Source organism: Homo sapiens, chromosome 6 (assembly GCF_000001405.40).
Source record: "Homo sapiens chromosome 6, GRCh38.p14 Primary Assembly".
Classification (NCBI taxonomy): domain Eukaryota; kingdom Metazoa; phylum Chordata; class Mammalia; order Primates; family Hominidae; genus Homo; species Homo sapiens.
This window is the reverse complement of record NC_000006.12, coordinates 78,962,476-78,975,322: the sequence shown is the minus strand read 5'-3', so window position 1 is coordinate 78,975,322 and position 12,847 is coordinate 78,962,476. Positions and strand designations below refer to the sequence as shown.

At 36.3% G+C, this 12,847-nt stretch overlaps 2 protein-coding genes across 5 annotated transcripts in view, besides 2 other annotated features; one reads left to right on the top strand and one right to left on the bottom strand.

Annotated features, from left to right (window-relative positions):
• The window catches only part of IRAK1BP1 (interleukin 1 receptor associated kinase 1 binding protein 1), a 111,861-nt gene that overhangs the window by 4,089 nt on the left and 94,925 nt on the right, over positions 1-12,847 (bottom strand). The window lies entirely within an intron of this gene.
• PHIP (PHIP subunit of CUL4-Ring ligase complex) overlaps positions 1-12,847 on the top strand; it is a 143,836-nt gene that overhangs the window by 102,932 nt on the left and 28,057 nt on the right. For 3 of the 4 annotated variants that reach the window (XM_005248729.6, NM_017934.7, XM_011535918.4), the window contains 6 exons: positions 4,435-4,542; positions 5,150-5,274; positions 5,406-5,488; positions 9,267-9,378; positions 9,559-9,620; positions 12,071-12,226. In XM_005248729.6, the coding sequence (XP_005248786.1) occupies positions 4,435-4,542; positions 5,150-5,274; positions 5,406-5,488; positions 9,267-9,378; positions 9,559-9,620; positions 12,071-12,226 (646 nt within the window). Of the gene's footprint in view, positions 1-4,434; positions 4,543-5,149; positions 5,275-5,405; positions 5,489-9,266; positions 9,379-9,558; positions 9,621-12,070; positions 12,227-12,847 lie in introns of those variants that run through there. The other variant, XM_011535919.2, reaches the window with a different exon arrangement.
• Positions 3,012-3,559: an enhancer, noted in NCBI's record as "NANOG-H3K27ac-H3K4me1 hESC enhancer chr6:79681481-79682028 (GRCh37/hg19 assembly coordinates)". NCBI's record gives its function as "activates a minimal SCP1, AML or CMV promoter by ChIP-STARR-seq in naive H9 embryonic stem cells {active_cell/tissue: H9 hESC(naive)}" and the evidence as "EXISTENCE:reporter gene assay evidence [ECO:0000049][PMID:30033119]".
• Positions 3,560-4,109: an enhancer, noted in NCBI's record as "NANOG-H3K27ac-H3K4me1 hESC enhancer chr6:79680931-79681480 (GRCh37/hg19 assembly coordinates)". NCBI's record gives its function as "activates a minimal SCP1, AML or CMV promoter by ChIP-STARR-seq in naive H9 embryonic stem cells {active_cell/tissue: H9 hESC(naive)}" and the evidence as "EXISTENCE:reporter gene assay evidence [ECO:0000049][PMID:30033119]".

Here is a 12,847-nt window from a genome sequence, read left to right as displayed (position 1 = left end):
TGTTGATTTTTGTCAAAGGCCTTTTCTGCATCTATTGAGATAATCATGTGGTTTTTGTCTTTGGCTCTGTTTATATGCTGGATTACATTTATTGATTTGCGTATATTGAACCAGCCTTGCATCCCAGGGATGAAGCCCACTTGTTCATGGTGGATAAGCTTTTTGATGTGCTGCTGGATTCGGTTTGCCAGTATTTTATTGAGGATTTTTGCATCAATGTTCATCAAGGATATTGGTCTAAAATTATCTTTTTTGGTTGTGTCTCTGCCCAGCTTTGGTATCAGAATGATGCTGGCCTCATAAAATGAGTTAGGGGGGATTCCCTCTTTTTCTATTGATTGGAATAGTTTCAGAAGGAATGGTACCAGTTCCTCCTTGTACCTCTGGTAGAATTCGGCTGTGAATCCATCTGATCCTGGACTCTTTTTGGTTGGTAAGCTGTTGATTATTGCCACAATTTCAGATCTTGTTATTGGTCTATTCAGAGATTCAACTTCTTCCTGGTTTAGTCTTGGGAGAGTGTATGTGTCAAGGAATTTATCCATTTCTTCTAGATTTTCTAGTTTATTTGCGTAGAAGTGTTTGTAGTATTCTCTGATGGTAGTTTGTATTTCTGTGGGATCGGTGGTGATATCCCCTTTATCATTTTTTATTGCATCTATTTGATTCTTCTTTTTTTCTTTTATTAGTCTTGCTGGCGGTCTATCGATTTTGTTGATCTTTCAAAAAACCAGCTCCTGGATTCATTAATTTTTTGAAGGGTTTTTTGTGTCTCTATTTCCTTCAGTTCTGCTCTGATCTTAGTTATTTCTTGCCTTCTGCTAGCTTTTGAATGTGTTTGCTCTTGCTTTTCTAGTTCTTTTAATTGTGATGTTAGGGTGTCAATTTTGGATCTTTCCTGCTTACTCTTGTGGGCATTTAGTGCTATAAATTTCCCTCTACACACTGCTTTGAATGCGTCCCAGAGATTCTGGTATGTTGTGTCTTTGTTCTCGTTGGTTTCAAAGAACATCTTTATTTCTGCCTTCATTTCATTATGTACCCAGTAGTCATTCAGGAGCAGGTTGTTCAGTTTCCATGTAGTTGAGCGGTTTTGAGTGAGATTCTTAATCCTGAATTCTAGTTTGATTGCTCTGTGGTCTGAGAGATAGTTTGTTATAATTTCTGTTCTTTTACATTTGCTGAGGAGAGCTTTACTTCCAAGTATGTGGTCAATTTTGGAATAGGTGTGGTGTGGTGCTGAAAAAAATGTATATTCTGTTGATTTGAGGTGGAGAGTTCTGCAGAAGTCTATTAGGTCTGCTTGGTGCAGAGCTGAGTTCAATTCCTGGGTATCCTTGTTAACTTTCTGTCTCGTTGATCTGTCTAATGTTGACAGTGGGGTGTTAAAGTCTCCCATTATTAATGTGTGGGAGTCTAAGTCTCTTTGTAGGTCACTCAAGACTTGCTTTATGAATCTGGGTGCTCCTGTATTGGGTGCATATATATTTAGGATAGTTAGCTCTTCTTGTTGAATTGACCCCTTTACCATTATGTAATGGCCTTCTTTGTCTCTTTTGATCTTTGTTGGTTTAAAGTCTGTTTTATCAGACTAGGATTGCAACCCCTGTCTTTTTTTGTTTTCCATTTGCTTGGTACATCTTCCTCCATCCTTTTATTTTGAGCCTATGTGTGTCTCTGCAGGTGAGATGGGTTTCCTGAATACAGCACACTGATGGGTCTTGACTGTTTATCCAATTTGCCAGTCTGTGTCTTTTAATTGGAGAATTTAGTCCATTGACATTTAAAGTTAATAGTGTTATGTGTGAATTTGATCCTGTCATTATGATGTTAGCTGGTTATTTTGCTCATTAGTTGATGCAGTTTCTTCCTAGTCTCGATGGTCTTTACATTTTGGCATGATTTTGCAGCGGCTGGTACCGGTTTTTCCTTTCCATGTTTAGCGCTTCCTTCAGGAGCTCTTGTAGGGCAGGCCTGGTGGTGACAAAATCTCTCAGCATTTGCTTGTCTGTAAAGTATTTTATTTCTCCTTCACTTATGAAGCTTACTTTGGCTGGATATGAAATTCTGGGTTGAAAATTCTTTTCTTTAAGAATGTTGAATATTGGCCCCCACTCTCTTCTGGCTTGTAGAGTTTCTGCTGAGAGATCCGCTGTTAGTCTAATGGGCTTCCCTTTGAGCGTAACCCGACCTTTCTCTCTGGCTGCCCTTAACATTTTTTCCTTCATTTCAACTTTGGTGAATCTGACAATTATGTGTCTTGGAGTTGCTCTTCTCGAGGAGTATCTTTATGGCGTTCTCTGTATTTCCTGAATCTCAACGTTGGCCTGCCTTGCTAGATTGGGGAAATTCTCGTGGATAATATCCTGCAGTGTTTTCCAACTTGGTTCCATTCTCCCCATCACTTTCAGGTACACCAATCAGACGTAGATTTGGTCTTTTCACATAGTCCTATATTTCTTGGAGGCTTTGCTCATTTCTTTTTATTGTTTTTTTCTCTAAACTTCCCTTCTCGCTTCATTTCATTCATTTCATCTTCCATTGCTGATACCCTTTCTTCCAGTTCATCGCATCGGCTCCTGAGGCTTCTGCATTCTTCACATAGTTCTCGAGCCTTGGTTTTCAGCTCTATCAGCTCCTTTAAGCACTTCTCTGTATTGATTATTCTAGTTACACATTCTTCTAAATTTTTTTCAAAGTTTTCAACTTCTTTGCCTTTGGTTTGAATGTCCTCCTGTAGCTCAGAGTAATTTGATCGTCTGAAGCCTTCTTCTCTCAGCTCATCAAAGTCATTCTGCGTCCAGCTTTGTTCCATTGCTGGTGAGGAGCTGTGTTCCTTTGGAGGAGGAGAGGTGCTCTGATTTTTAGAGTTTCCAGTTTTTCTGTTCTGTTTTTTCCCCATCTTTGTGGTTTTATCTACTTTTTGTCTTTGATGATGGTGATGTACAGATGGGTTTTTGATGTGGATGTCCTTTCTGTTTGTTAGTTTTCCTTCTAACAGACAGGACCCTCAGCTGCAGGTCTGTTGGAGTACCCTGCAGTGTGAGGTGTCAGTGTGCCCCTGCTGGAGGGTGCCTCCCAGTTAGGCTGCTCAGGGGTCAGGGGTCAGGGACCCACTTGAGGAGGCAGTCTGCCCGTTCTCATATCTCCAGCTGCGTACTGGGAGAACCACTGCTCTCTTCAAAGCTGTCAGACAGGGACATTTAAGTCTGCAGAGGTTACTGCTGTCTTTTTGTTTGTCTGTGCCCTGCCCCCAGAGGTGGAGCCTACAGAGGCAGGCAGGCCTCCTTGAGCTGTGGTGGGCTCCACCCAGTTCGAGCTTCCCGGCTGCTTTGTTTACCTAAGCAAGCCTGGGCAATGGTGGGCGCCCCTCCCCCAGCCTCGCTGCCGCCTTGCAGTTTGACCTCAGACTGCTGTGCTAGCAATCAGCGAGACTCCGTGGGGTAGGACCCTCCGAGCCAGGTGCGGGATATAATTTCGTGGTGCGCCGTTTTTTAAGCCCATTGGAAAAGCGCAGTATTCGGGTGGGAGTGACCCGATTTTCCAGGTGCCGTCCGTCACCCCTTTCTTTGATTAGGAAAGGGAACTCCCTGACTCCCTGTGCTTCCTGAGTGAGGCAATGCCTCACCCTACTTCGGCTCGCACACGGTGCGCGCACCCACTGACCTGCGCCCACTGTCTGGCACTCCCTAGTGAGATGAACCCGTTACCTCAGATGGAAATGCAGAAATCACCCGTCTTCTGCATCGTTCAGGCTGGGAGCTGTAGACCGGAGCTGTTCCTATTCGGCCATCTTGGCCCCTCCCCGCAATAATGGTATTAATGAATAGAATGAAAGTATGGGATAGTGGCTATCCCAAAATGTTACTAAAAACTTAGCATTTTAAAACACGTTCTTCTACTAGTGGGTGTCAGACTGCTGTGTTCAAGTACTAGTTCTCCAAGACAGTAGTCAGGAGTCACTTAAATTTGATCTTCATGAAATGTGGATAAATGTATGCCCTGCTGTCTTACCAGGATTTGTGTAAGGATTAAAATATATGTGAAAGTACATTTTTCATTTCAATGTTTTCTGCATATGTACAAACTACTTGCTAAAAAAGTTAACAACAAAAGTGGACAATAAACTTATTAGTCAACGTTATTATGCAACATAGATTAACTTATTTTGATTTTAAGAATAAAATGGTGAAACCAGAAAATAACTTTTCATCTTAACTTATAAGTGTGTATTCAAAGTAATGTTATTTAGAACACTTTGGTTATGATTTAGTGATGTTAAGACAACTTGAGAGAAAGGAGGAGGGAGAAAATATTAGAATTTCTATTAGCTGAAAAGGCATTAGATTTTCTCTTTGCAATTTCAGCTGATACCCTGTATATTGGATTAAAGGAAACACATCCAGGTTGTAAGATTATGACTTTATTTTTTAGGTTTATTATTTCCGACAAGGACATGAAGCCTATGTCGAAATGGCCCGGAAAAATAAAATATATAGTATCAATCCCAAAAAACAACCATGGCATAAAATGGAGCTACGGGTATGACATTGATTTATTATTTAATAGCCCCAAAAATACAATTATGGAATTTGGAGAAAATTGTATCAAAGGTTACTATTAACACAATAAGAAACTGCATCATGAAGATACCTTGTTTAATTGAAGCAGTCCTAGAGAGTAGGAGGTGTTTAATTTTCATCCAGAGAAACACAAGATTTGACTGAATTTATATACTCCAATGCAGTTTATGGGTTGGGTACAAAATTTAGTTATAGTGAAAATTAGGTAATAAGTCTAAAGTAAGCTTTGTATTCGTAAATTTGATGCGTATTTCTAGATTTGTCATCAGTAGTTCAGTTACCAATAGGTCTTTGGAATGGTGATAGAAAACTTACTTTAGTAACTATACTTTAGTAAAGTTCTCCTTATTTTTTTTTCCTTTTTTACGTTTTAAAAATTTCATTGTAACTTGCATACTATAAAGTGCACAAATCTTAATACAGAGCTCAGTGAATTTTTACATGTACACAGTCATCACCATCCAGATCAAGATTTAAACCAAGAAGTTTTTTCTCAACAATGTTTAGCAGTCTATTTTGTGGTTTATTTTGTAAAGATGGTTCCTTATATTCTCTGTCTCTCTCAGGAACAAGAACTTATGAAAATAGTTGGCATAAAGTATGAAGTGGGATTACCTACCCTTTGCTGCCTTAAACTTGCTTTTCTAGATCCTGATACTGGTAAACTGACTGGCGGATCATTTACCATGAAGTAAGGACTGTTGAAAGAGGCAATGGTTTTCTTAGTATTGTAGATTGTTTTTCAAGATTCAGATACATTTGAACATCTTTTAGGTATTTTTAGGTATGTGACCTAATCAATTTGTTTCTGTTTGTAATTAGATACCATGATATGCCTGACGTTATAGATTTCCTAGTCTTGAGACAACAATTTGATGATGCAAAATACAGGCGATGGAATATAGGTGGGTAATTTATTTAGAAGCTATCGATGTTTGATGTGGTTTTTTTTTCTTAGTAAGTGATTTACTATTTTTCATAATTGAGAAAAAGATTATCAGAGAAATCTTTTTGCTATTTGTAGGAATGTTAATAGCAAAGTAAGATACTATGTCAGAGGTATTGTTAAGTTTTGTTTAGGAATGAAAACAGTCGATGTTGAAATTTAAAACATTTTTTCTGTTACATTTGACTTTATTTTCATGTTTTACATGTTAAGTTAAATTTTTGTATAAAAATATTAATAACAATTTAAATTTGAAGCCAAAAGAAGCTTAACAAGATGTATAAGTTTGTACTGGGACTAAAGCTAAACTGACATTTTTCTTTTATTGGTTAATCCTATTATAATCTTTAAAATTAGTATCATAAACAAGTCTCAAAGAAACTAAAATCTGTAAAAGTTTTCAGGCACTTAAGGTGCATTAATTTACATATAGATGATGTGCCACTTATGAGAGTAGTTCTCTTAAAAATTTCATATAGGACCAGTGTGTGTCATGGTATGATGTGTACACGGTATGTATGGTTTGAAAAAGCACATCAATTGATATACCAGTCTGTCCTTCAGTGCCACTAGAACGCATTGACATGGTGGTTTGTCCTTTGTTAAAAACTTGTATGTGCTCTGTAAGGAGAAATTAGGAAAATTTGGAAGCTATCAAAATTATGGACATGGAAGTTAGAAAGAAAATTTACATCTCATGTTCCATTTCCCTAGAAGTTTTGAAAGATGTGTTTCATCAAATAAGGGAGTAACCAAGAAAGGGAAAAGAATGGAATCCCCTCAGGAAACAGGAAGTCCAGAACAGGAAAAGTTAAAAGGAATCCCAAATAATATTCAGTAGAAGCCTCAGGATAGCAGCTACCTAGCAGGTCCAAATCTCCTTCAAGAGGAAAGTCTTCAGGGGGAAAAAATTGGAACACATAACTTATCTAACAAGTTTGTCTTTGTGGAAAATTACATTGAAGAATGTTTTTTACAGCTTGAGCTGTTAGAGATTGTGGGAAGATTTAATTGTAAATTCACTGAAAACCAAGCATTAAAAAAATGAAGCAATTATTAATTTTAGGGAAAACAAAATTATATAAGGAAGGAATTATATGCTGTTTTGCTTAGGAGCAAGCAGTATTTACACAGTCATGATTAAAAATTGAATATGGATTAAATATAATACACATACTTTTTATGCACAGTTGTATTGAAGTTATAGTTGTCCCTTAGTATCCACAGGGAATTACTTCCAGGACCTCCATGGATACCAAAATCTTTGCATACATAGGTTCCAGAATTGATCCTACGGAACCCCCCGATGTGAAAAGTTGGCCCTTCCATATTCATGGATTTCACATCCCACTAATACTGTATTTTCAATCTGCATTTGGTTGCTGATGCAGAATCTGCCAATACAGAGGGCCAAATCTGTTTATTGGAAAAATCTGTGTATAAGTAGACCTGGTCAGTTAAAACCCATGTCTTCAAGAATCAACTCTGATACTTACTGTCAAAAATTGATGAGTGAAGAAATCTGTAAGTCAAGAAGTAGTAGGTAAAATAGATGAAAACATTTTTCTTGGTTTTGGCTATCAGCCTTTGGTACATCTGATTGTTTAAATTTTTCACATACATTACTTGATATGATAAATTGTATTTTATTTTATTTTTGAGATGGAGTCTCGCTCTGTCACCCAGGCTGGAGTGCAGTGCCGTGATCTTGGCTCACTGCAAGTTCCACCTCCCAGGTTCACACCATTCTACCTCAGCCTCCCGATTAGCTGGGACTACAGGCTCCTGCCACCACGCCTGGCTAATTTTTTTTTTGTATTTTTAGTAGAGACAGGGTTTCACCGCGTTAGCCAGGATGGTCTTGATCTCCTGACCTTGTGATCCGCCCGCCTCAGCCTCCCAAAGTGCTAGGATTACAGGCATGAGCCACCGCGCCCGGCCGATAAATTTTATTTTTTAAGGAGTTGCATTTGCCAATAAATTGCGGAACAAATAATAGAGATCAAAGTGCAGCAATATTCCAGAAGTGAGCTCATAACCTTGGCAAAGTAATGTGGCTAACATTGGACAAATCACAGAGAATTAAAATGAATGAGCATCATAATTTTCTCATTTGGATCTTACAATTTTATTCTAATTTATGGGTTAATATTTCTCTAAAGTTAGTATCTAATTAATCTTTTATATCTGAGGATATATGCATTCACCCACCGACTGCCATTTAAAATTACATTAGTAATTTTTACTTCAGCCCCTCCTCGGAAATGTATTAAGGCTTACTCTCAATGGTGGACTTCAGTAGTAGTCCAGGTTCTTTGCTTAACTTTCTTGTTATTCTACAGATATTGTTCGTTATGATTAGGCACACATTACTCAGTCCTTCCTCTTTAGCATAATAATCAGTCTGTGTAGGGTCATAAGATACAGCTCTTTGAAACTTTATGTTTAGTGTGAGGTAGTGGTGGTGTCAAGAATGCTTCTTATTAAACTATATAGTAGCTTTTTGTTAAGTGTCACTAGTATGCATCTGAGGAACAACTGTCAACAGCATGCAGTTGTGTTCTATTAACTTTTCTCCTGGCTCCAATTTTCTTTTTTATCATATTCTTTTACCTTGTTTTTCTAATTTTTAATTCATTTCATGCTATATGTTTTTATAAACTTTTAAATCCTTTTTGGTAAGAAAATGAGAACATAACTACTTTTCTCTTTGAGTTTAAAAATAAAACTGATTCAGATTAATTGCTAACTTAATTCATTTTAACTTAACTGTGTGTCAAAATGTGGAGTGCTTTAATAGAACTCATTAGTCAAAAACTACCAGGAGGTAGACATCACCATTTCTATTTTATAGACAAGGAAAATGAAGTTCAAAAATAATTAATATATTCAAAGTTATACAGATACGTTATTTGAACCCAAGTCTTTCAGGCTCTAGCCTATGCTAGCCACGAGAAAACTCAAGTACTGTGATAGCTGAGGAACAGGAAAACATTGCATAAAGGAAGTAAGTGACTTACAGTTTTCTTATGACACAGAAGGAACATGAGAATATTTAGATAAGAAAAAGCCATAGCATTTATAGCTTGTTCAGGTCTTTGGGAAAAAGCAGGTTAAGTAATACGACGACAGCAATTGGATAAGGAAATAGACACAAGGAGTGTCCTCTGTTTTAAAAAGAATAGTTGTTTTATTTTTGTTTCTTTTTTGTTTCCTTTTACAGGAAAGGGAGAGTGAGTGAGTATTAAGGGTGATTGAGATGAAGGAAGACAGGTTGGATTTTATGTTGTTTGTTGTTTTTAGCGTGGAGTCTTGATTGATTGTTGGTTGGGGAAACTTGCTTACAGAAAGTAAGAAATTAAAAGACTAAGTAATTGTTGAGTGGAACTTGCCGCAATTATAATTTTATTTCAGTGAAAAGTTTGGGTATAGTGTTAATGATGAATTTCAAATGCTAGATTGGTAAAAATGCCTAAAACAAGTGAATTTCTGTATACCTTAATGAAATATAAAAAATAGAATTGAAAACTGTTAAGTCACACTTCAAGTATGCTTACTAAATTCCTTTTTTCTCTTGGTATTGCTGATTGTACTTACTTATTTTTGGAGTTTGTGGTTCACTTTTTGTCTTCTGAAATCATACAGGCAGTTTAGGTACTTAAAGGTTAACGTTAGGAAAAAGCAGTGACAGCAGCCATGCATTTCAGAATGATGAGTTAGTTTTTGTTCTTGGCCAGGTGACCGCTTCAGGTCTGTCATAGATGATGCCTGGTGGTTTGGAACAATCGAAAGCCAGGAACCTCTTCAACTTGAGTACCCTGATAGTCTGTTTCAATGCTACAATGTTTGGTAAGGAAATATTTGTTGTATTTTAGTTCACCTAGGCTTGCTTTGAATTTTTTTTTCCATCTATTAAGAGATAAAGAGACTTCTTTTAAACACAGAAGCAATTATTTTGATAATTGATTTTATTAAAATTGTGATACAATAATTTAGATTTTTTAATATAATGATTTTTCTTTCTTTAAGCTGGGACAATGGAGATACAGAAAAGATGAGTCCTTGGGATATGGAGCTTATACCTAATAATGGTAAGTGTGTGTTAGGCTTTTTGTTTCTCCATTATGGAGTTAATTTCTTAAGAAATTATTTAAGATTTGCTAACATGCTACCACTTACAGTTGTGAGTATCAAATAGAAAACATTCATTTGGCAAATATTTATTATTGTACACCTTGAAGTAGGGGAGATTCAGCAGTGAAGAAGATAGATATAACTCTTGCCTACTTGGAATTGATTGAAATTAATTTATTACAGCAAAACATGAAATTGTTTTATTAATTACTATTCACCCAAGAAAGTGTGCATTTGGGAGGCAGAGACACTTTTGTAACTTTAGCAGAGTGTTTAAAGTGTAACATAATAGTTAAGAGGTCATGCTTTTGAGTGAGACGGACATCAGTTCATATCCTGACTTGTCATTTTTTATGTGATCTTGGCAAGTTCCATAAAGCCTCACACCCCAACTTTTTAGTACTCGGCCTTAGAAACCGTCAAAGCTAATACCTTCCTTATAGGGCTACTTTGAAGATTAAATAGCATCATGTGTGTAAAGTGCTTATTGTAGAGCCTGACACATATAAGAGCTCAATGAAGATATAGTTGTAATTAATAATGATAATATAACTGTCATTATGCATATGGCCTGACACATTCAGGATTTAATAATTAGCCTTAGGCAGTGAGTATGACATCTTCCTTGCACTGAGAAAAGGACGTTGGGACCAAAGCCTGGAGATTATATTTTCTTTCCACTTCATTGCCCATTTTTGTTTGTTTGTAAAAAATACAACACACATGCACAATTGCATAAGCCAAAAAGGGATTAGAAGGATATTGTCGAGATTTTAATAATGATTATTTATAGAGTAGCATTATAAAGACTTCATAAATTCTTTTACGTTATTCTATATTGTTTGATTTTTAAAAAATAATATATTACAGGGCAGGAGTGGTGGCTCACACCTGTAATCCCAGCACTTTGAGAGGCTGAGGCAGGTGGATCACGAGGTCAGGTGTTGGAGAGCAGCCTGACCAACATGGTGAAACCCCGTCTCAACTAAAAATACAAAAATTAGCCTGGCGTGGTGGCGTGTGCCTGTAGTCCCAGCTACTCAGAAGGTTGAGGCAGGAAAATTACTTGAACCTGGGAGGCGGAGGTGGCAGTGAGCCGAGATTGCACCACTGCGCTCCAGCCTGGGCAACAGAGCGAGACTCCATCTCAAAAATAATAATAATATATTACATCTCTTAGCAGATAAAAATAAATAAGATCTTTAAAAAACAAAAAGGAAAACATCTAATTTCTAACATAGTAGAAATAATCTTTTATTAATTGAGTTGCTCAGTAGTTATTGTAATCCAAAGTCAGAGAAAAAATAACTGTTGGAGAAAATAACCCAGTCTCGTAGACCTCAGAAATGAGAAAATTGTCATACTGATTAGCTAAGATTAGTTCTCTGCAGGAATTATCACTTTGAAAATTTAATGCCAATAATATATTTTTTTTTATCTCACTGCTAAATTAGAGCTGTTTAAAATTATAAAATATCTTAAATCAATTGGTAACCATGTTACATGGCTTATGTTTTTGTTTTGTTTCTCTCATTTATTAAAAAGAAAGTTTGAATTTGAACTCACATTGAACTGTTGTGAATATGATAGCAATGCAGCCAGTTGGTGTTATAATGCCTTGGATATTTTTTAAATGAATAAGTGATACTGATTCACTGTTTTGTTTCCTACCTAAATATATTGAAGGGTGGTTACTGTTGTTGTTCTATTTGGATACACATTCATACGAACCTATAGAGTTTAATCGTAGTTTGTGATGAGAATTTTGATTGTACACAAACAGTGGCGTATTTTCTAGAGTGTATCTGCCAAAACTTAGTCTAAAGGAAAAATTACCTAGCACGTTTCTAGATTTTGGGTTACCGCAACCCTCTAGTGATTCTCTCAGCTAAAACTGTTAAAGATTCAAGCATGCAGAAAGCATACCTTCATAATTTATGAGTAATAAGCATAAGCATCATTTGTCAGTTTTCATAATTCTCTCTGTTCCTACATTCAAAAATTGAAGCTTTGATTGAAGTATTTCTAGAAAATGTCACTTTAGTTCAGTTTTACCTTGTGTATACTTTATCAAAGTAAACATGGCAATTATGAAGTGATTCAGAAAACTTTGAAATTTGCATATTTTATAGAAATGATTTCTGCACATGTACTTGATTACAGAGCAGATTTTCAGGTATAATTTTGGAGAAGTAATTATTTAGAGAATTACTTATAGTATCATTTAAAAATTAATTTAAATTTTAGTGACCCTTAAAACATACTTTCCTTTGTTAAAATAAAGAGTATATTTACAAATCTATACAAAATATACTTTAATTTTGTGACTGTTATTTTTACATTCTAAAGCTAACCTGAATACTAATAAGTTACCATGTATTTGCAATGATCTGCTTTTCTATTTCAGCTGTATTTCCTGAAGAACTAGGTACCAGTGTTCCTTTAACTGATGGTGAGTGCAGATCACTAATCTATAAACCTCTTGATGGAGAATGGGGTACCAATCCCAGGGATGAAGAATGTGAAAGAATTGTGGCAGGAATAAACCAGTTGATGACACTAGGTAAGTAAAGCAACACGCGAGTATAGAAAAAACTGGCAGAACACAAAGTAATGGAAAAATACTGTTATTCTCCAACAAAAATTTTTTTTCACAATATCCTAAGTCAGTGGTTTCAGACATTTTAAGTGGAATCTCTTTTTGAATGTGGTCTTAACACAGGACTTAACTATTTAAAACAGTTATAAATTAGGTTATGTTAGCTGAATTTTAGAATAAGGGCCTCCTAGAAGTGCCAGAGGCATCTCTGAAAAAACTGGGTCCTCCACAACCCAATTTAAAACACTTGACATATTCAGGCTGACATGATATGAATTGGAGGAGGAGGATTGAAAGCTGAGTTATAATTATATGGGTAGCTTGTACTGGTCTCCCCCAACTTAATATACACACACAAAAGAGGATCTTCTTAAGGGGAGAGGAGAGGGTATATTAATTGCTCTGCCTTGTTAAAAGAAAACAGTGACCACAAAACTTGATTATCTAAATTCTGGGCTTCTGAAGTAACTAGATTATGTGGTGGTTTGTAGCAACCCACTCTCTCAATAAAGAATCAGCTGCAAAGAGTCTAGAGAGAAATTAACATGAGTAAGAAGAGCTGGATGGACACGGAGATTGAGGAAT